This window comes from Homo sapiens, chromosome 16, assembly GCF_000001405.40.
Source record: "Homo sapiens chromosome 16, GRCh38.p14 Primary Assembly".
In the NCBI taxonomy this organism is placed as follows: domain Eukaryota; kingdom Metazoa; phylum Chordata; class Mammalia; order Primates; family Hominidae; genus Homo; species Homo sapiens.
Window position 1 is genome coordinate 46,396,880 of NC_000016.10, and position 21,951 is coordinate 46,418,830.

The following is a 21,951-nucleotide window of genomic DNA, read 5'->3' on the forward strand; positions in this document are numbered from 1 at the left end:
GTGAATCACCGAATGCACTAAAATGGGATGATCGAATAGCCTCGAATTGCATCATCATTAAACGGAATCAAATGGAGTCATCTCATGGACTCGAATGTAATCATCAAATGGACTCAAAAGGAATCATCATCAAGTGGAATCGAGTGAAATCGTCGAATGGACTCGAATGCCATCATCGAATGTGGTCGAATGGAATCATCATTGAATAGAATCTAATGGAATCATCACATGGGCTCGAATGTAATCATTATCGAATGGAATCATCATCGAATGGAATGGAATGGAATCATTGAATGGAATCGAATGGAATCATCATCAAATGGAATCAAAAGGAATAATCGAATGGACTCGAAGGGAATCATCGAATGAACTCTAATGGAATCATTATCAAACGGAATCCAATGGAATCATTGAATGGACTCGAATGGAATCATCATCGAATGGAATTGAATGGAATCATCGAATGGAATGGAATGGAATCATCCTCGAATGGAATCTAATGAAATCACCGAATGGACACGAATGGAATCATCCAATGGATTTGAGTGGAATCATCATTGAATGGAATCGAATGGAATCATCAAATGGACTCGAATGGAATCATCTTCGAATGGAATCGAATGAAATCACAATCGAATGGAATGGAATGGAGTCATCATCTAATGGAGTCGAATGGAATCATCATTGAATATAATAGAATGGAGTCACCATATTGAATCAAATGGAGAGATCATCGAATGGAATTGAAGGGAATCATCGAATAGGAATGAAAGGAGTCATCAAATGGAATTGGGTGGAATCATCAAATGGATTCAAATGGAATGATCATCAAATGGAATTGAATGGTATCATCGAATGGACTCGAATGGAATCATCATCAAATGGAACCAAATGGAATCATCGAATGGACACGAATGCAATCATCATTGAGTGGAATCAAATGGAATCATTGAATGGCATCGAAAGGAATCATCATCGAATGTAGTCTAATTAAATAACCGAATGGACTCAAATAGAATCATCGAATCAAGTCGAATGGAATCATCATCGAATGGAATCCAATGGAATCATCGAATAGCATCAAATGGAATCATCGTCAAATGGATTCAAATGGAATCATCGAATGGACTCGAATGGAATCCTCATGGAATATAATCGAATGGAATCTTCGAATTGACTCGAATGGAATCATCATAGAATGGAATCTAATGGAATCATCGAATGGAATCGAATGGAATCATCATTGAATGGAATCGAGTAGAATCATTGAATGAAATCGAATGGAATCATCATCGAATGCAATCGGGTGGAATCATCAATGAATGGAATCGAATGGAATCACAGAATGGAATCCAATGTAATCATCTTCGAATTGAAAACAAAGCAATCATTAAATGTACTCTAATGGAATCATCGAATGGACTCGAATGGAACCATCGTTGAATGGAATATAATGGAATCATCGAATGCAATCGAATGGAATCATCGAATGGACTCGAATGGAATCATCATAGAATGGAATTGAAAGGAATCATCAAATGGACTTGAATGAAATCATTGAATGGACTCAAAAGGAATCATCATCGAATGGTATTGTATGGAATCGTTGAACTTACTCTAATGGGATAATCATTGAATGGAATTGAATGCAATCATTGAATGGAATAGAATGGAATCATCATTGAATGGAATCAAATGGAATCCTCAATGAATGGAATCGAATGGAATCATCATCGAATGGAATTGAACGGAAACATCAGCGAATGGAATCGAAAGGAATCATCATGGAATAGATTCGAATGGAATCATTGAATGGAATGGAATGGAATCATCATAGAAAGGAATCAAAGGGAATCATCGAATGGAATCAAACGGAATCATCGAATGGAATGGAATGGAATCATCATCGAATGGACTCAAATGGAATAATCTTCGAAAGGAATCGAATGGAATCGAATGGAACAATCAAATGGACTCCAATGGAATCATCTAATGGAATCGAGTGGAATCATCGAATGGACTCGAATGGAGTCATCATCCAATGAAATCGGATGGAATCAATGAAGGGACTCGAATGAAATCATGGAATGGACTCTAATGGAATCATCATCAAATGAAATTGAATGGGATCATCATCAAATGTAATTGAATGGTATCATTATCAAAAGAAATCCAGTGGAATCACCAAATGGACTCGACTGTAATGATTAAATGGACTCGAATGGAATCATCAAATGGAATCATCGAATGGACTCGAATGGAATTGTTGAATGGATTCGAATGGAGTCATTGAATGGACTCTAGTAGAATCATAATCAAATGGAATCAAATGGAATCATCAAATGGACTCGAATGGAATCATTGGATGTACTCGAATGAAATCATCGAATGGACTCGAATGGAATCATCATCGAATGGAATCAAATGGAATCCTCGAATAGAATCAGATGGAATCCTCAAATGGAATCGAATGTAATCATCATCAAATGGAATAGAATGGAGTGATCGAATGGAATCGATGGCAATCATCATCCACTGGAATCAAACGGAATCATTGAATGGAATCGAATGGAATCAATGTCAAGTGGAATCGAGTGGAATCATCGAAAGAAATCGAATGGAATCATTGTCGAATGGAATGGAATGGAATCAAAGAATTGAATTGAATAGAATCACCAATGAATTGAATCGAATGGAATCCTCATCGAATGGAATCGAAGGGAATCATTGGATGGGCTGAAATAGTATCATCATCTAATGGAATCATGTGGAATCATCTAAGGGACACAAATAGAATCATCATTGAATGGAATCGAATGGAATCATCTAATGTACTCGAATGGAATCACCATTGAATAGAATAGAATGGAATCATCGAATGGAATCGAATGGAATCATCATGATATGGAATTGAGTGGAATCATCGTATGGACTCGAATGTAATCATCAGAGACTGGAATCAAATGGAATCATTAAATGGACTCTAATGGAATCATCATCGATTGGAATTGAATGGAATCATTGAATGGACTCCAATGGAATCATCACCAAATATAATCAAAAGAAATCATCAAATGGATTCGAATAGAATCATCAAATGAACTCGAATGGAATCATCATCGAATGGAATCAAATGGAATCATCAAATGGACTCGAATGAAATCATCATCAAACGGAATCGAATGGAATCATTGAATGGAATGGAATGGAATCATCATGGAATGGAAACGAGTGGAATCACTGAATGGACTCGAATGGGATCATCATCAAATGGAATCGAATGGAATCATCTAATGAACTTGAAAGGAATCATCATCAAATGAAGTCAAATGGAATCACCAAATCGACATGAATGGAATCATCATTGAATAGAATCGAATGGAATGATTGAATGGGCTAGAATGGAATCATCTTTGAATGGAATCAAATGGAATCATCATCGAATGGAATCGAATGGAAATGTCAACCAATTGAATCAAATAGAATCATCATGGAATTGAATCGAATGGCTCACTGTCGAATCAAATCCAATGGAATCATCATCGTATGGAATTGAATGGAATCATTGAATGGAATTGAATGGAATCATCATTGAATGGAATCGAATGAAATCATCAACGAATGGAATCCAATGTAATCATCATAGAATTGAAACCAATGGATTCATTAAATGGACTCGAATGGAATCATCGAATGGACTCGAATGGAATCATCATCAAATGAAGTAGAATGCAATCATCAAATGGAATCGAATGGAATCATCATCGAATGGAATCTAATGGAATAATAGAATGAACTCGAATGGAAACATCGAATGGAGTTGAATGGAATCATCATCGAGTGAGATCGAATGGAATCATCGAATAACATCGAATGGAATCATCGTCGAATGGAGTCTAATGGAATCATCAAATGGACTCGAACGGAATTGTCATGGAATGTAATTGAATAGAATCTTCTAATGGACTCAAGTGGAATCATCATCGAAAGCAAGCGAATGGAATCATCATCGAATTTAATCGAATGGAGTCATCATCATATGGAATCGAGTGGAAGCATTGAATGGGCTCAAAAGAAATCATCAGAGAATGGAATTGAATGGAATCATCAAAAGGACTCGAATGGAATCATCATCAAGTGGAATCAAATGGAATCATCGAATGGACACGAATCAAATCATCGTTGAATGGAATCGAATGAAATCATCGAATGGACACGAAGGGAATCATTATCGAATGGAATTGAATGAAATCATAATCGAATGGAGTCGAATGGAATCATCATCGAATGGAGTTGAATGGAAACATCACTGAATGGAATCAAATGAAATCACCGAATTGAATCAAATGGAATGATCATCAAAGGGAATCAAAGGAAATCATCGAATGGGATCAAATGGAGTCATCGAATGGAATCAAGTGGAATCATCAAATGGATTTGAACAGAATCAACATCGAATGGAATCGAATGGAATCATCGAATGGACTCGAATGGAATCATCTAATGCACTCGAATGGAATAATCATCGAATGTAATCGAATGGACTCATCCAATGGAATCAAATGGAATCATCAAATGGAATCGAACGGAATCATCATCAAAAGGAACCGAATGGAATCATTGAATGGAATCAAAGGCAATCATGGTCGAATGGAATCAAATGGAAACATCATTGAATAGAATTGAATGGAATCATCACATGGAATCGAATGGAATCATCGTAAATGCAATCAAGTGGAATCATCGAATGGAATCTAAGGGAATCATCATCGAATGGAATGGAATGGAATCATTGAATGAAATTTAATGGAATCACCAATGAAAGGAATTGAACGGAATCATCGTCAAACGGAATCAAGTGGAATCATCGAATGGAATCAAATGGAATCATCATCGAATGGAATCAAAAGCAATTATTGAATGGACTCAAATAGAATCATAGAATGGACTTGAATGGAATAATCATCGAATGGAGTAGAATGGAATCACCGAAAGGATCCGAGTGGAATCATCATCGAATTGAATCGAATGGAATCATCGAATGGACCCGAATGGAATCATCATCGAATGGAATATAATGGAATCATCATCGAATGGAATCAAATGGAATCATCTAACGGACCTGGATGGAATCATCACTGAATGGAATAAAATGGAATCATAATCAAATGGAATCGAATGGTATCATCTAATGGACACGACTGGAATCACCATTGGATTGAATAGAATGGAATCATCACTGAATGGAATCGAATGCAAACATCATCGAATAGAATTGAATGGAATCATCAAATTGAATCGAATCGAATCATCATAAATGGAATCAAATGGAATCATCAAATGGAATCTAATGGAATCATTATCGAATGGAATGGAATAGAATCATTGAATGTAATTGAATGGAATCACCAATGAAGGGAATCGAGCGGAATCATCGTCAAATGGAATCAAGTGGAATCATCGAATGGAACCTAAAGGAATCATTGTCGAATTGAATGGAATGGAATCATTGAATGGAAATGAATGGAATCACCAATGAATGGAATCGAATGGAATCCTCATCGAATGGTTTCAAAAGGAATCATCAAATGGACTCAAATGGAATCATCATCAAATGGAAACATGTGGAATCATTGAATGAACTTGAAATGATTCATAATCGAAAGGAATCAAAATGAATCATCCTCAAATGGAATCACATGGAATCATCATGGAATAGAGTCATACAGAATCATCATCAAATGGAATTGAATGGAATCATCAATTGCACTCGAATGGAATCATCAAAAGAATCGAATGGAAGCATCGAATGGATTCGAATGGAATCATCATTGAATGGAATAGAATGGAATCATCGAAAGGACTCGAATCAAATCATCAAATGGACTCGAATGGAATCGTCATCGAAAGGAATTGAATAGAAACATCAGATGGAATCGAATGGAATCAACATCGAATGGAATCGAATGGAATCATAGAACAGTATTGAAATGAATCATCATCGAATGGAATCAAATGGAATCATCATCGAATGGAATCCAAAGCAATTATTGAATGGACTCAAATGGAATCATTGAATGGACTTGAATGGAATCAGTATCGAATGGAGTAGAATGGAATCACTGAATGGGCCCGAGTGGAATCATCATCGAATTGAATCGAATGGAATCATCAAATGGACCCGAATGGAATCATCATCGAATGGAATATAATGGAATCATCACTGAATGGAATCAAATGGAATCATCTAACGGACAGGGATGGAATCATCACTGAATGGAATAAAATGGCATCATAATCAAATGGAATCAAATTGAATAATCTATTGGACACGAATGGAATCATCATTGGATTGAATAGAGTGGGATCATCATCAAATGGAATCGAATGGAATCATCTAATGTAGTCGAATGGAATCATCATCTAATGGAATAGAATGGAATCATTGAATGGAATTGAATGGAGCAATCATCGTATGGAATTGAGTGGAATTATCGAATGGACTCGAAATTAATCATAGGAGAATGGAATCGAATGGAATCATCTAATGGACTCAAATGGAATCAACATCGAATTTAATATAATGGAATCATCATCGAATGGAATCAAATGGAAGCATCTAACGGACCCGAATGGAATCATCACTGAATGGAAAAAAAATGGAATCTACGTCGAATGGAATCAAACGAAATCATCTAATGGACACTAATGGAATCATCATTGGATTGAATAGAATGGAATCATCATCGAATGGAATTGAATGGAATCATCTAAAGGACACGAATAGCATCATCATTGCATGGAATTGAATGGAATCATCTAATGTACTCGAATGGAATCATCATCTCATGGAATAGAATTGAATCATCAAATGGAATCGAATGGAGTCATCATCATATGGAATCAAGTGGAATCATCGAATGGACTTGAAAGTAATCATCGGGGAATGGAATTTAATAGAATCATCAAATGGACTCGAATGGAATCATCATCGAATGGAATCAAAAGGAATCATGGAATGGACTTGAATGGAATCATTGAACGGACTCGAATGAAATCATCATCAAACGGAATCAAATGGAATAATCGAATGGACACGAATGCAGTCATCATCGAATGGAATCGCATGGAATCATCGAATGGAATCGAATGGAATCATAATTGAATGGAATCGAATGGAATCATCATTGAATGGAATCTAATGGAATCATCATCGTATGGATTCTAATGGAATTATCATCTAATGGAATCGAATGGAATCATCAATGAATGGAATCGAATGAAGAAATCGAATGGAATCCGTTGGAACCATCATAGAATGGAAATTAATGCCGTCATCATCAAATGCAATCGAATGCAATCATCATCGAGTGGAATCGAAAGAAATCATCATCGAATGGAATTGAAGGGAATCATCATCGAATGGAATAGAAAGGAATCATCATCGAATAGAATCCAATGGAATCATCGAATGGAATGGAATGGAATCATCATTGAAATAAATCGAAGGGAATCATCAAATGGAATTGAACGGTATCATCAAATGGAATTGAATGGAATCGTCATCGAATGGGATCAAATATAATCATCAAATGGACACGAATGGAATAATCGAATAGCTAGAATTAAATCATCGAATGCTATCGAATGGAATCATCGATTGGACTCTAATGGAAGCATCATCAAATGGAATCAGATGGAATCAATGAAGGAGCTCGAATGGAATCATCGAATGGACTCGAATTGAATCATCATTGAATGGAATCAAATGGAATCATCGAATGGACCTGAATGGAATCATCATCGAATGGAATACAATGAAATCATCATGGGATGGAATCGAATGGAATCATCACAGAATGGAATCGAATGGAATCATCGAATGGACTCGAATGGAATAATCGAATGGACTCGAATGGATTCATTGAATGGAATTGAATGGATTCATCAAATGGACTCGAATGGAATCATCATCGAATTGAATCGGATGGAATCAACGAAGGGACTCGAATGAAATCATCGAATGGACTCGAATTGAATCATCATCGAATTGAATCTTAAGGAATCATTGAATGGCCTCGAATGGAATCATCATTGAAATGAATCTAATGAAATCATCATCGGATGGAATCGAATGGAATCATCACTAAATGGAATAGAATGGAATCATCGAATGGAATCGAATGGAATCATCATTGAATGGAATAGAATGGAATCATCAAATGGAATTGAATGGAATCATCGAATGGAATTGAATGGAATCATCATTGAATGGAATCGAATGGAATCATCGAATGGAAACAAACGGAATCATCATCGAATGGAATCCAATGGAATTATCAAAAGAAATAGAATGGAATCATTATCGAATGGAGTAGAATGAAATCATCATCGAATGGAATCCAATGGAATCGTCAATGAAGGGAATCGAATGGAATCATCATCAAATGGAATCGAATGGAATCAACAACAAATGGAATCGTATGGAATCATTGAATGAAATCCAATGGAATCATTACCAAATAGAAACGAATGGAATCATCGAATGGACTTGAATGGAATCATCATCGAAGGGAATCTTATGGAATCATCGAATGGACTCGTATGGATTCATCATCGAATGAAATCGAATGTAATCATATAATGGAATCAAATGGAATCATCATTGAATGGAATAGAATAGAATCATCGGATGGAATCAAATGGAATCATCAATGAATGGAATCGAATGGAATCATTTAAAGAATTCGAATGGAATCTTCATCAAATGTAAACAAATGGAATCATCGATAGGACTCGAATTTAATCATCATCAAATGGAATTGGATGGAATCAATGAAGGCACTAGAATGGAATCATCGAATGGACTTTTATGGAATCATCATCGAATGGAAACGAATGGAAACATGGAATGGAATTGAATGGAATCATCATCGCATGGAATCAAATGGAATCATCGAATGGAATTGAATGGAATCATCCAGTGGAACCGAATGCAGTCATCCTCGAATGGAATTCAATGCAATCTTGAATGGACTCGATTGGGATCATCATTGAATGGAATCGAATGGAATCATTGAATGGACTCAAATGCAATCATCGAATGGACTTGAATGGAATCATCATCTAATGGAATAGAATGGAATCATCGATTGGACAAGAATGGAATCATCATCAAATGGAATCGAATGGAATCATCAAATGGATTCGAATGGAATCATCATTGAATGGAATCATTTGGAATCATTGAATGATCTCGAAATAAATCATAATCAAATGTTACTGAAAGAATCATCATCGAATGGAATCATGGAATGGAATCCAATGGAATCATCTTCGAATAGAATTGAATGGAATCATCGAGTGGACTAGAATGCAGTCATCATCAAATGGAATCGAATGGAATCATCAAATAGAATCGAATGTAATCGTCATTGAATGAAATCGCATTGAATTATCAAATGGACTCGAATGGAATCATCGTCGAATGGAATCCAATGGAATCATCTACTGGACTAAAATGAAATCATCATCGAATGGAATGGAATAACCAAATGGATTCTAATGTAATCATCATCGAATGAAATAGAAAGGAATAATCGAATGGAATCATCATCAAATGGAATTGAATGGAATGATCTAACTGACTCGAATGGAATCATTGTCGAATGGAATCAAAAGGAAACATTGAATAGACACGAATTGAATCATTATGGAATGGAGTCGAATGGAGTCATCATCAAATGGAATCGTATAGAATCCTCATCAAATGGAATTGAATAGAATCATCGAATGTAATAGAATAGAATAATGTTCGAATGGAAACAAAATGAATCATCAAATGAAATCAAATGGAATGATCATCAAATGGAATCGAATGGAATCATCATCAAATGGAATCAAACAGAATCATCATCAATTGGAATGGAATGGAATCATTGAATGGATTTGAACGGAATCATCATTGAATGGAATCGAATCTAATCTTCGAATGGACTCGAGTGGAATTATGATAGAATGGAATCGAATGTTGTCTTCGAATGCACTCGAATGGAATAATCATCGAATGCAATCAAAGGGAATCATCATCGAATGGAATCGATTGGAATCATCATCAGATGGAATTGAATGGAATCCTCGAATGGAATAGAATTGAATCAACATTGAATGGAATCGAAGAGAATCATCAAATGAAATCGAATGGAATCATCATCGAATGGAATCGAATGGAATCATCATCGAATGGAATCAAATCGAATCATCATCGAATGGAATCAAATGGAATCATCAAAGAATGGAATCAAATGGAATCGTCATTGACAGGAATCAAATGGAATAATCACCGAATGGAATCACAAGGATCATTGAATGGAATCCAATGTAATCATCATTGAATTGAACCTAATGGAATCATTACATGGAGTCGAATGCAATCATCGAATAGACTCAAATGTAATCATCATTGAATGGAATAGAATGGAATCATCAAACGGAATCAAATGGAATCATCATCAAATAAAATCCAATAAAATCATCGAATGGTCTCAATTGGAATCATCATCCAATGGAATCAAATGTAATCATCGAATGGACACGAATGGAATCACCATTGAATGGAATCAAATGGTATCATCGAATCGACTCTAATGGAATCATCATCAAATGGAATCGAAAGGAATAATCAAATGTATTTGAATGGAATCATCGAATGGACTCGAATGGAATCATCACCAAATGGAATCGAATGGTATCACCAAATAGAATCAAACGTAATAATCTTCAAATGAAATTGCATTAAATCATGGAATGGACAAGAATGGAGTCATCATCAAATGGAATCAAATGGAATCATCGAATAGACTCATATATAATAATCATCGAATGGAATGGAAAGGAGTCATCAAACGAAATCAATGGAATCATCATCGAGTGAAATCAAATGGAATAATTGAATGGCACAAAATGGAATCATCATCGAATGGAATCATCTAAAGGACACGAATGGACTAATCATTGAATGGAATCGAAAGGAAACATCGAATGGACACAAATGGAATCATCACCGAATGGAATTGAATGGAATCATCATGAAATCGAATCAAATAGGATCGTCATCGAATGAAATCGAAAGGAATCATCACTGAATGTAATTGAATGGAATCATCATTGAATGTAATTGAATGGAATCATAATTTAAAGGAATCGAATGGATTCATCATCAAATGGAACCAAACAGAGTCATCATCGAATGGAATTGAATGGAATCGTAATCAAATGGAATCGAATGGAATCATCAAATGGAAACGAATGCAATCATCGACTGTGCTTCAATGGAATCATCATGGAATGGAATCGAATGCAATCATCGAATGGGCTCGAATGGAATCATCATCAAATGGAAACAGATGGAATCATAGAATGGACTTGAATGGAATTATCGAATGGACTCGAATGGAATCATCATTGAATGGAATTGAATGGAATCATCGAAAGGTCTGAAATGGAATCATTACCGAATGGAATCGAATGGAATCATCAAATGGAATCGAATGGAATCATCATCGAAAGGAATTGAATAGAATCGGCATCGAATAGGATAGAATGGAATCATCATCGAATGGAATTTTCATCAAATGGAATCGAATGGAATCATCATTGAATAGAATCGAATGGGATCATCGAATAAATCGAACAGAATCTTCATCAAAAATAATCGAATTAAAACAAATAATGGAATACAACATACTCATTGAATGGAATCGAATGGAATCATCATTGAAATGAGTTGAATGGAATCATCATCAAATGGAATCATATAATGGACTTGAATGGAATCATCGAATGTACTCGAATGGCATCATCATGGAATGGAATCATATGAAATCATGGAATGCACTCGAATGGAATCATCGAATGGACTCAAATGGAATCAACGTCAGCTGGAATCGAAAGGAAATATCGAATGGACTCGAATGGAAACATCATTGAATGGAATCTAATGGAATCATCGAATGGACTCGATTGGAATCATCATCGAATGGAATCAAATGGAATCATCAAATGGAATTGAATGGAATCATCATCGAATGGAATCAATTGGAATCATCAATGAATGGAATCGAATGGAGTCATGGAATGGAGTCCGTTAAAATCATCATCGAATGGAACCGAATGCAGACAACATCAACTGGAATCAAATGGAATAATCGAATGGACGTGATGGAATCATCATTGAATGGAATCAGAAAAAGTCATTGAAAGGACTAGAATGGAATTATCATCGAGTGGAATCGAATGGAATCATCGAATGGACTCGAATGGAATCATCATCGAATGGAATCAAAAGGAATCATCCAATGGACTAGAATGGAATCATTAAATGTACTCGAATGGAATCATCATCGAATGGAATCAAAAGAAATCATCCAATGGACTTGAATGGAATCATTGAATGTACTCAAATGGAATCATCATCGAATGCAAGCGAATGGAATCATCCAATGGACCCGAATGGTATCACAATTGAATGGAATCAAATGGAATCATTGAATGGAATCATCATCAAATGGAGTCCAATGAAATCATCAAATGGACTTGAATGGAAACATCATAGAATGGAATTGAATGGAATCATCATTGAATGGAATCAAATAGTATCATCGAATGCACTCGAATGGAATCATCAATGAATGTTATCATCGAATGGAATCAGGTGGAATAATCTTCAATTGGCATCAAAATAAATCACTGAATGGTCTTGAATGGAATAATCATCGAAAGGAATCGAATGGAATCATCGAATCAAATCGAACAGAATGATCGTCAAATGGAATCGAACAGAATCATTGATCGGACTCAAATAAAATCATCATCGAATGGAATCAAATTGAATCATCATCAAATGGAATCAAAAAGGATCAACACCAAATGGAGTCGAATGGAATCATCATCAAATGGAATCCAAAGGAATAATCATCGAATGGAACTGAATGGAATCATCATCGAATGGAAATGAAAGGAGTCATCATCAAGTGGAATTGCATGGAATCGAATGGAATCATCATCAAATGGAATCTGATGGAACCATCGAATGGAATTGAATGGAATCATCATCGAATTAATTGAATGATATCATCGAATGGTCTCGAATGGGATCATTATCTAATCGAATCGAAAGGAATCATCAAATGGATTCGAATTGAATCATCGAATGGACTCGAATGGAATCATCGAATGCACTCAAATGGAATCATCATCAAATGGACTTAAATGGAATGATAAAATGGACTCGAATTGAATCATCGATTGGACTCAAATGGAGTTATCAAATGGGCGCGAATGGAATCATCAAATGGACTCGAATGGAATCATTATCGAATGGAATCAAATGGAATCATCGAATGGAATCTAATGGAATCATTGAATGAAATCGATTGGAATCATCATGAAATGGAATCAGGTGGAATCCTAGAATGGAATTGAATGCAGTCATCATCAAATGGAATCAAATGGAATCATCGTAGAATAGAATCAAACTGAATCATCAAATGGAATCGAATGCAATCGTCGTCGAATGTATTCGAATGGAATCTTCAAATAGAATCTAATGGAATCATTGAATGGAATTGAAAGGAATCAGCATCAAACGAAATCGAATGGAATCATCATTGAATAGAATCAAATGGAATCATTGAATGGATTCACCATCAAATGGAGTCCAAAGGAATCATCAAATGTACTCGAATGGAATCATCGACTGGACTCGAATGGAATCAGTGAATGGACTCGAATGGAATCATCATGCAATGGAATCAAATGAAATCATCCTCAAATGGAATTGAATGGGATCATCACTGAAAGGAATCGAATGGAATCATCAAATTAAACCAGATGGAATCATCACCGAATGGAATCGAATGGAATCATTGAATGAAATCAAATGGAATCATCATCAAATGGAGTCGAATTAAATCATCATCGAATGGAATCCAATGGAATCATCAATGAAGGGAATCGAATGGAATCATCATCGAATGGAATCAAATGGAATCATCAATGAATGGAATCTAATGGAATCATCGAATGAAATCTAATGGAATCTTCATCAAATGAAATCTTATGGAATCATCGAATGGACACACATGGAATCATCATTAAAAGAAATTGAATGTAATCATAGAATGAAATCGAATGGAATCATCATTGAATGGAATCGAATAGAATCATCGAATGGAATCAAATGGAATTATCAAATAATGGAATCGAATGGAATCATTTAATTGACTCGAATGGAATCTTCATCGAATGTAATCGAATGGAATCATCGAATGGACTCAAATGGAAACATCATCGAATGTAATCTAACGGAATCATGGAATGGAATCAAATGGAATCATCATCGCATGGAATCAAATGGAATCATCAAATGGAATCAAGTGGAATCATCGAATTGTACCGAATGCAATCATCCTCGAATGGAATCGAAAGGAATCATCGAATGGACTCAAATGGAATCATCATCAAATGGAATCAAATGGAATCATCGAGTGGACTCGAATGCAATCATCCAATGGACACGAATGGAATCATCATTGAATGGAATAGAATGGAATCATCGAACGGACTCGAATGGAATTATCATTGAATGGAATCAAATGGAATCATCGAACGAATTTGAATGGAATCATCATCGAATGGAATGGAATCTCATCATCGAATGTATTCGAATGTAATCATCATTGAATGGAATCATGTGGAATCATCGAATGAACTCGAAATGAATCATAATCGAATGCAATCGTAAGGCATCATCATCGAATGGATTCACATGGAATCATCATCGAATGGAATCATACGGAATCATCATAGAATGGAATTGAATGGAATGATCAGTTGGACTCGAATGGAATCATCAAATGGACCCAAAGGGAAGCATCGAATGGACTCAAACAGAATCATCATTGAATGGAATCAAATGGAATCATGGAAAGGACTTGAATCGAATCATCAAATGGACTTGAACTGAATCATTATAGAATGGAACTGAAAAGAGTCATTGGATGGACTTGAATGGAATCATCTTTAAATGGAATCGATTGGAATCATCCAATGCACTCGAATGGAATCATCATCATATGGAATTTAATGGCGTCATTGAATGGACTCAAATGGAATCATCATCAAATGGAATCCATAGGAATCATCGGATGGAATCAAATGATATTATCGAATTGAATCAAATGGAATCATCTTTGAATGGAATCGAATGGAATCATCGAATGCAATCGAAGGCAGTCATCATTGAATGGAATCAAATGGAATCATCTAATGGAATCAAACAGAATCATCATTGATTAGAATCGAATGGAATGGTTATCAAATGGAATCCAATGAAGTCATCAACGAATGGAATCTAATGGAGTCATCATCTAAAGGAATTGAATGGAATCAGCAAGGAATGGAATCGAATGGAGAAATCGAATGTAATCCTTTGGAATCATCATTGAATGAAAACAAATGTAGTCATCAGAGAATGGAATCGAATGGAATTAATGAAGGGACTCGAATGGAATCATCATTGAATTGAATCGGATGGAATCATCGAATGGACTCGAATGGAGACATCATCGAATGGAATCGAATGGAATCATCGAATTGACTCTAATGGAATCATCATTGAATGGAATCAAATGGAATCGAATGGAATCATAGAATGGACTCTAATGGAATCATCATGGAATGGAATTGAACGGAATCACCAAATGAACTCGAATGGAATCATTGAATGGACTCGAATGGAATCATTATTGAATGGAATCGAGTGAAATCCTCAAATGGAATCAAATGGAATCATCAATTGGAATTGAACGGAATCATCATCAAATGGAATTGAATGGAATCATCTAATGGAATCGAACACAATCAACATTGAATGATTTGAATGGAATCATCATCGAATAGAATCAAATGGAATCATCAAATAGAATCGAATGGAATCATTGTCGAGTTTAATCGAGTGGAATCATCGAATGGAATCGAGTGGAATCAATGTCGATTGGAATGGAATGGAATCAATGAATGAAAATGAATGGAATCACCATTTAATGGAATCAAATGGAATCATCATCGAATGGAATTGAATGGAATCATCAAATGGACTAGAATGCAATCATCATTGAATGGAATCACATGGAATCATCATCGAATGGAATCATACGGAATCATCATCGATGGGAATTGAAGGGAATGAAAAATTGGACTCGAATAGAATCAACAAATGAACTCGAATGGAAGTGTCAAAAGGACTCAAATGGAATAATCATAGAATGGAATTGAAAGGAATCATCTAATGGACTAGAATGGAATAATCATCGCATAGAATTGAATGGAATCATAGAATGGACTCGAATGGAGTCATCATCAGAGGGAATCAAATGGAATCATTGAATAAAATCAAATGTAATCGTCATAAAATGAAATTGCATTGAAACATCGAATGGAAACGAATGGAGTCATCATCGAATGGAATCGAGTGGAATCATGGAATGGACTCGAATGGAATAATCGAATGGAATGGAAAGGATTCATCAAAAAGAAATCACTGGAATCATCATCAAATGAAATCAAATGGAATAATCAAATGACACCGAGTGGAATCATCATTGAATAGAATCAAATGGAATCATCCGATGGACTCAAATGGAATAATCACCAATTGGAATCGAATGGAAACATCGAATGGACACAAATGGAATCATCACTGAATGGAAAGAATGGAATCATCATCGAATGGAATACAATGGAATCATCATCGAATGGAATACAATGGAATCATCATCGAATGTAACTGAATGAAATCATCATTGAAAGGAATCGAATGGATTCATCATCAAATGGAACTGAACAGAGATAGAATTGAATGGAATCGTAATCAAATGGAATTGAATGGGATTATTAAATGAACTCTAATGCAGTCATCGACTGGGCTTCAATGGAATCATCATGGAATAGAATCAAATGGAATCATCGAATGGACTCGATTGGAAGCATCATTGAATGGAATCAGATGGAATCATCGAATGGTTTTGAATGGAATCATCGAATGGACTTGAATGGAATCATCATGGAATGGAATTCAATGGAATCGTCGAATGGTTTCGAATGGAACCATCATCGAATGGAATCGAATGGAATCATCGAATGGAATTGAATGGAATCAAATAGAGTCGGCATCAATTAGAATTGAATGGAATCATCATTGAATGGAATCGAATGGAATTTTGATCAAATGGAATCGAATGGAGTCATCATTGAATAGAATCAAATGGAATCATCATTGAATGGAATCGAATGGAATTTTGATCAAATGGAATCGAATGGAGTCATCATTGAATAGAATCAAATGGGATCATCAAATGAAATCGAATGGAATCATCATCAAAAAGAATCGAAGTAAAACAAAGAATGGAATACAACAGACTCATTGAATGTAATCGAATTGAATCATCATTGAAAGAACTCGAATGGAGTCATCATCGAATGGAATCGAATGGAATCATTTAATGTACTCGAAAGGAATCATCAAATGGAATCGAATGGAATCATCATAGAATGGAATCGAATGAAATCATGGAATGCACTCGAATGGAATCATTGAATGCACTCAAATGGAATCAATGTCGAGTGGAATCGAAAGGAAACATCGAATGGACTCGAATGGAATCATCATCGAATGGACTCAAAAGGAATCATCATCGAATGGAATCAACTCGAATTATTGAATTGAATCTAATAGAATCATCATTGAATGGAATCGAATTGAATCATCATCAAATGGAGTCGAATGGAATCATCATATAATGGAATCGAATGGAATCATCATCGAATGGACTCGAATGGAATCATCATCAAACGGAATCAAGTGGAAACATTGAATGGAATCATCATTGAATGGAATCAAATTGAATCATCATCAAATGGAATCTAATGGAATCATCTTATCATGGAATCGAATGAAATCATCATCAAATGGAATCAAATGGAATCATCAATGAATGCAATCAAAAGGAGTCATCAAATGGCGTCCGTTGGAATCATCATTGAATGGAACTGAAGGCAGTCATCATTGACTGGAATCAAATGGAATCATCGAATGGACTCGATGGAATCATCATCTCATGGAATCAAATGGAATCATTGAATGGACTGGAATGCAATCATCGAATGGACTCGAAGGGAGTCATCATCAAATGGAATAGAAAGGAATCATCGAATGGACTCGAAGGGAATAATCATCGAGTGGAATTGAATGGAATATTCGAATTGACTGGAATGGAATCATCATCGAATGGAATCGAAAGGAATCATCAAGTGGACTTGAATGGAATCACTGAATGTACTCAAATGGAATCATCATCAAATGCAAACGAAAGGAATGATTGAATGGACCCAAATGGAATCACCATCGAATGGAATTGAATGGAATAATCATCGAATGGAATCGAATAGTATCATCAAATGCACTCGAATGGAATCGTCAATGAATGGTATCAAATGGTATCATCGAATGGAATCGAATGGAATCATCTTCAATTGGCATTGAAATAAATCACGGAATGGACTCGAATGGAATAATCATCGAAAGAATTGAATGGAATCATCGAATGGAACCAAATGGAATCATCATCGAATGGAAACGAGTGGAATCATCGAATGTACTTGAATGGAATCATCATCGAATGGAATCAAATTGAACCATTTGAACCATCATCGAATGGAATTGAAAAGAATCAACATCAAATGGAGTCGAATGGAATCATCATCAAATGGAATCCAAAGGAATCATCATCGAATGGAAACGAAAGGAGGTATCATCGAATGGAATGCCATGGAATCATCATCGAATGGAATCGAATGGAATCATCATCAAATGGAATCTAATGGAATCATTGAATGGAATTGAATGGAATCATCATCAAATTAATTGAACGGAATCATCGAATGGTCTCGAATGGAATCATTATCAAATGGAATCATAAGGAATCATCGAATGGGCTCGAAAGGAATCATTGAATGGACGCAAATGGAATCATCATTGAATGGACTCAAATGGAATCATCGAACGGACTTGAATGGAATCATCGATTGGACTCAAATGGAATTATAGAATGGGCTCGAATGGAATCATCGAAAGAAGTCGAATGGCATCATTATTGAATGGAATCAAATGGAATCATTGAATGGAATCAAATGGAAACATCGAATGGAAATGATCAGAATCATCATCAAATGGAATCAAATGAAATCATCGAATGGAATCGAATGCAGTCATCATTGAATGGAATCGAATGGAATCATCAATGAATAGAATCGAATTGAATCATCGAATGGAATCGAATGGAATCATCGTTGAATGTAATCGAATGGAATCTTCAAATGGAATCAAATAGAATCATCGAATTGAATTGAAAGGAATCAGCATCGAACGAAATTGAATGGAATCATCATTGAATAGAATCGAATGGAATCATTGAATGGAATCATCATCAAATGGAGTCCAATGGAATCATCAAATGGACTCAAAAGGAATCATCGAAGGGAGTCGAATGGAATCATCGAATGGAGCCGAATGGAATCATCATCGAATGGAATCAAATGAAATCATCATCAAATGGAATCGAATGGAATAATCACTGAATTGAATCAAATGGAATCATTGAATGAAATCAGATGGAATCATCATCAAATGGAATCGAATAGAAACATCGAATGAAATCGAATTGAATCATCACTCAACGGACTCGAATGGAATCATCATCAAATGGACTCGAATGGAATCATTGTTGAATGGAATCGATTGGAAGCATCATCGAATGGAATCGAATGAAAACATCATCGAATTGAATCAAATGGAATCATCATGGAATTGAATCGAATGGCTCGTGATTGAATCAAACCAAATGGAATCATCATCGAATCGATTCAAATGGAATCATCGAATGGAATTGAATGGAATCATCATCGAATGGAATCGAATGGAACCATCAAATGAAATGGAATGGAATCATCAGCGAATGGAGTCAAATGGAATCATCATAGAATGGAATCTAATGGAATTATCAATGAAGGGAATCGAATGGAATCATCATAGAATGGATTCAAGTGGAATCATGAACGAATGGAATCGAATCAAATCATTGAATGGAATCCAATGGAATCATCATCAAATGGAACCAAATGGAATCATTGAATGGACTCAAATGGAATCATCATCAAATGGACTCGAATGGAATCATCATCAAAAGGAATCGAATGGTGTCATCGAATGGAATCAAATGGAATCATGGAATGGACTCGAAAGGAATCATCGAATGGAATCGAATGGAATGATCATTGAATGGAATCGAATGAAACCATCGAATGGAATCGAATGGAATCATCATCGAACGAAATCAAATGTAAACATTGAATGGAATCAAATGGAATCATCATCAAATGGAAACGAATGGAATCATTGAATGGATTCAAATGGAAACATCAATGAATGGAATCATCGAATGGCATCAAATGAAGTCATCATCAAATGGAATCGAATGGAATCATCAAATGGATGCAAATGGAATCATCATCGAATGCAATCAAATGTAATTATCGTATGGACACCAATGGAATCATCATTGAATGGAATCGAATGGAATCATCAAATGGAATAGAATGGAGTCATCATCAAATGACATCGAATGGAAACATCGATTGGAATAGAATGGAATCATCATCGAATGGAAACGAACAGAATCATCAAATGAAATCGAATGGAATCATCATCGAATGGAGTTGAATGAAATCATCATTGAAAGGAATCCAATGGAATCATGAATGAAGGGAATCGAATGGAATCATCATCGAATGGAATCAAATGGAATCATGAAGGAATGGAATAGAATGGAATCATCGAACGGACACGAATGGAATCATCATCAAATGGAAACGAATGAAATCATCGAATGGACTCGAATGGAATCGTCATCGAATGGACTCAAATGGAATCATCATCGAATGGAATCGAATGGTGTCATCGAATGGACTCAAATGGAATCATCGAATGGACTTGGATGGAATCATCGAATGGAATCAAACAGAATCATCAAGGAGTGGAATTGAATGGAATCATAGAATGGAATCCAATGTAGTCATCTTCGAATTGAACCCAACGGGATCATTAAATGGACTCGAATGGAAGCATCAAAAGGACTCAAATGGAATCATCATTAAATAGAATAGAATGGAATCGTCGTATGCAATCGAATGGAATCATCGAATGGACTTGAATGGAATCAACATCGAATGGAATCGAATGGAATCACGGAATGGACTCGAATGGAATCTTCATCGAATGGAATTGAAGGGAATCATCAAGTGGACTTGAATGGAATCATTGAATGGACTCGATTGGAATCATCATCGAATGGTGTTGAATGGAATCATTGAATTTACTCGAATGGAATAATCATCAAATGGAACCGAATGGAAACATCGAATGGAATCGAATGGAATCATCATTGAATGGAATCGAATGCAATCGTCTTCGAATGGAATCGAATGGAATCATCATCGAGTGGAATCTAATGGAATCATCATGTAATGTAATCGAATGCAATCATCAACAAATGGAATCAAATGGAGAAATTGAATGGAATCCTTTGGAATCATCATCTAATGGAACCTAATGCAGTCGTCATCAAATGGAATCGAATGGAATCATCAGCAAATGGAATCGAAAGGAATCATCATGGAATAGAATCAAATGGAATCATTGAATGGAATGGAATGGAATCATCATGGAAAGGAATCGCAGGGAATCATTGAATAGAATCGAACGGAATTATTGAATGGAATTGAAGGGAATGATCATCGAATGGACTCAAATAGAATTATCATCAAAAGGAATTGAAT

General features: G+C 35.6%; 5 annotated features.

Moving 5' to 3' along the window:
• Positions 86 to 631: an enhancer, noted in NCBI's record as "OCT4-NANOG-H3K27ac hESC enhancer chr16:46410251-46410796 (GRCh37/hg19 assembly coordinates)". NCBI's record gives its function as "activates a minimal SCP1, AML or CMV promoter by ChIP-STARR-seq in naive and primed H9 embryonic stem cells {active_cell/tissue: H9 hESC(naive and primed)}" and the evidence as "EXISTENCE:reporter gene assay evidence [ECO:0000049][PMID:30033119]".
• Positions 1,220 to 2,187: an enhancer, noted in NCBI's record as "OCT4-NANOG-H3K27ac-H3K4me1 hESC enhancer chr16:46432011-46432978 (GRCh37/hg19 assembly coordinates)". NCBI's record gives its function as "activates a minimal SCP1, AML or CMV promoter by ChIP-STARR-seq in naive and primed H9 embryonic stem cells {active_cell/tissue: H9 hESC(naive and primed)}" and the evidence as "EXISTENCE:reporter gene assay evidence [ECO:0000049][PMID:30033119]".
• Positions 2,188 to 3,153: an enhancer, noted in NCBI's record as "OCT4-NANOG-H3K27ac-H3K4me1 hESC enhancer chr16:46432979-46433944 (GRCh37/hg19 assembly coordinates)". NCBI's record gives its function as "activates a minimal SCP1, AML or CMV promoter by ChIP-STARR-seq in naive H9 embryonic stem cells {active_cell/tissue: H9 hESC(naive)}" and the evidence as "EXISTENCE:reporter gene assay evidence [ECO:0000049][PMID:30033119]".
• Positions 3,154 to 4,120: an enhancer, noted in NCBI's record as "OCT4-NANOG-H3K27ac-H3K4me1 hESC enhancer chr16:46433945-46434911 (GRCh37/hg19 assembly coordinates)". NCBI's record gives its function as "activates a minimal SCP1, AML or CMV promoter by ChIP-STARR-seq in naive and primed H9 embryonic stem cells {active_cell/tissue: H9 hESC(naive and primed)}" and the evidence as "EXISTENCE:reporter gene assay evidence [ECO:0000049][PMID:30033119]".
• Positions 4,121 to 5,086: an enhancer, noted in NCBI's record as "OCT4-NANOG-H3K27ac-H3K4me1 hESC enhancer chr16:46434912-46435877 (GRCh37/hg19 assembly coordinates)". NCBI's record gives its function as "activates a minimal SCP1, AML or CMV promoter by ChIP-STARR-seq in naive and primed H9 embryonic stem cells {active_cell/tissue: H9 hESC(naive and primed)}" and the evidence as "EXISTENCE:reporter gene assay evidence [ECO:0000049][PMID:30033119]".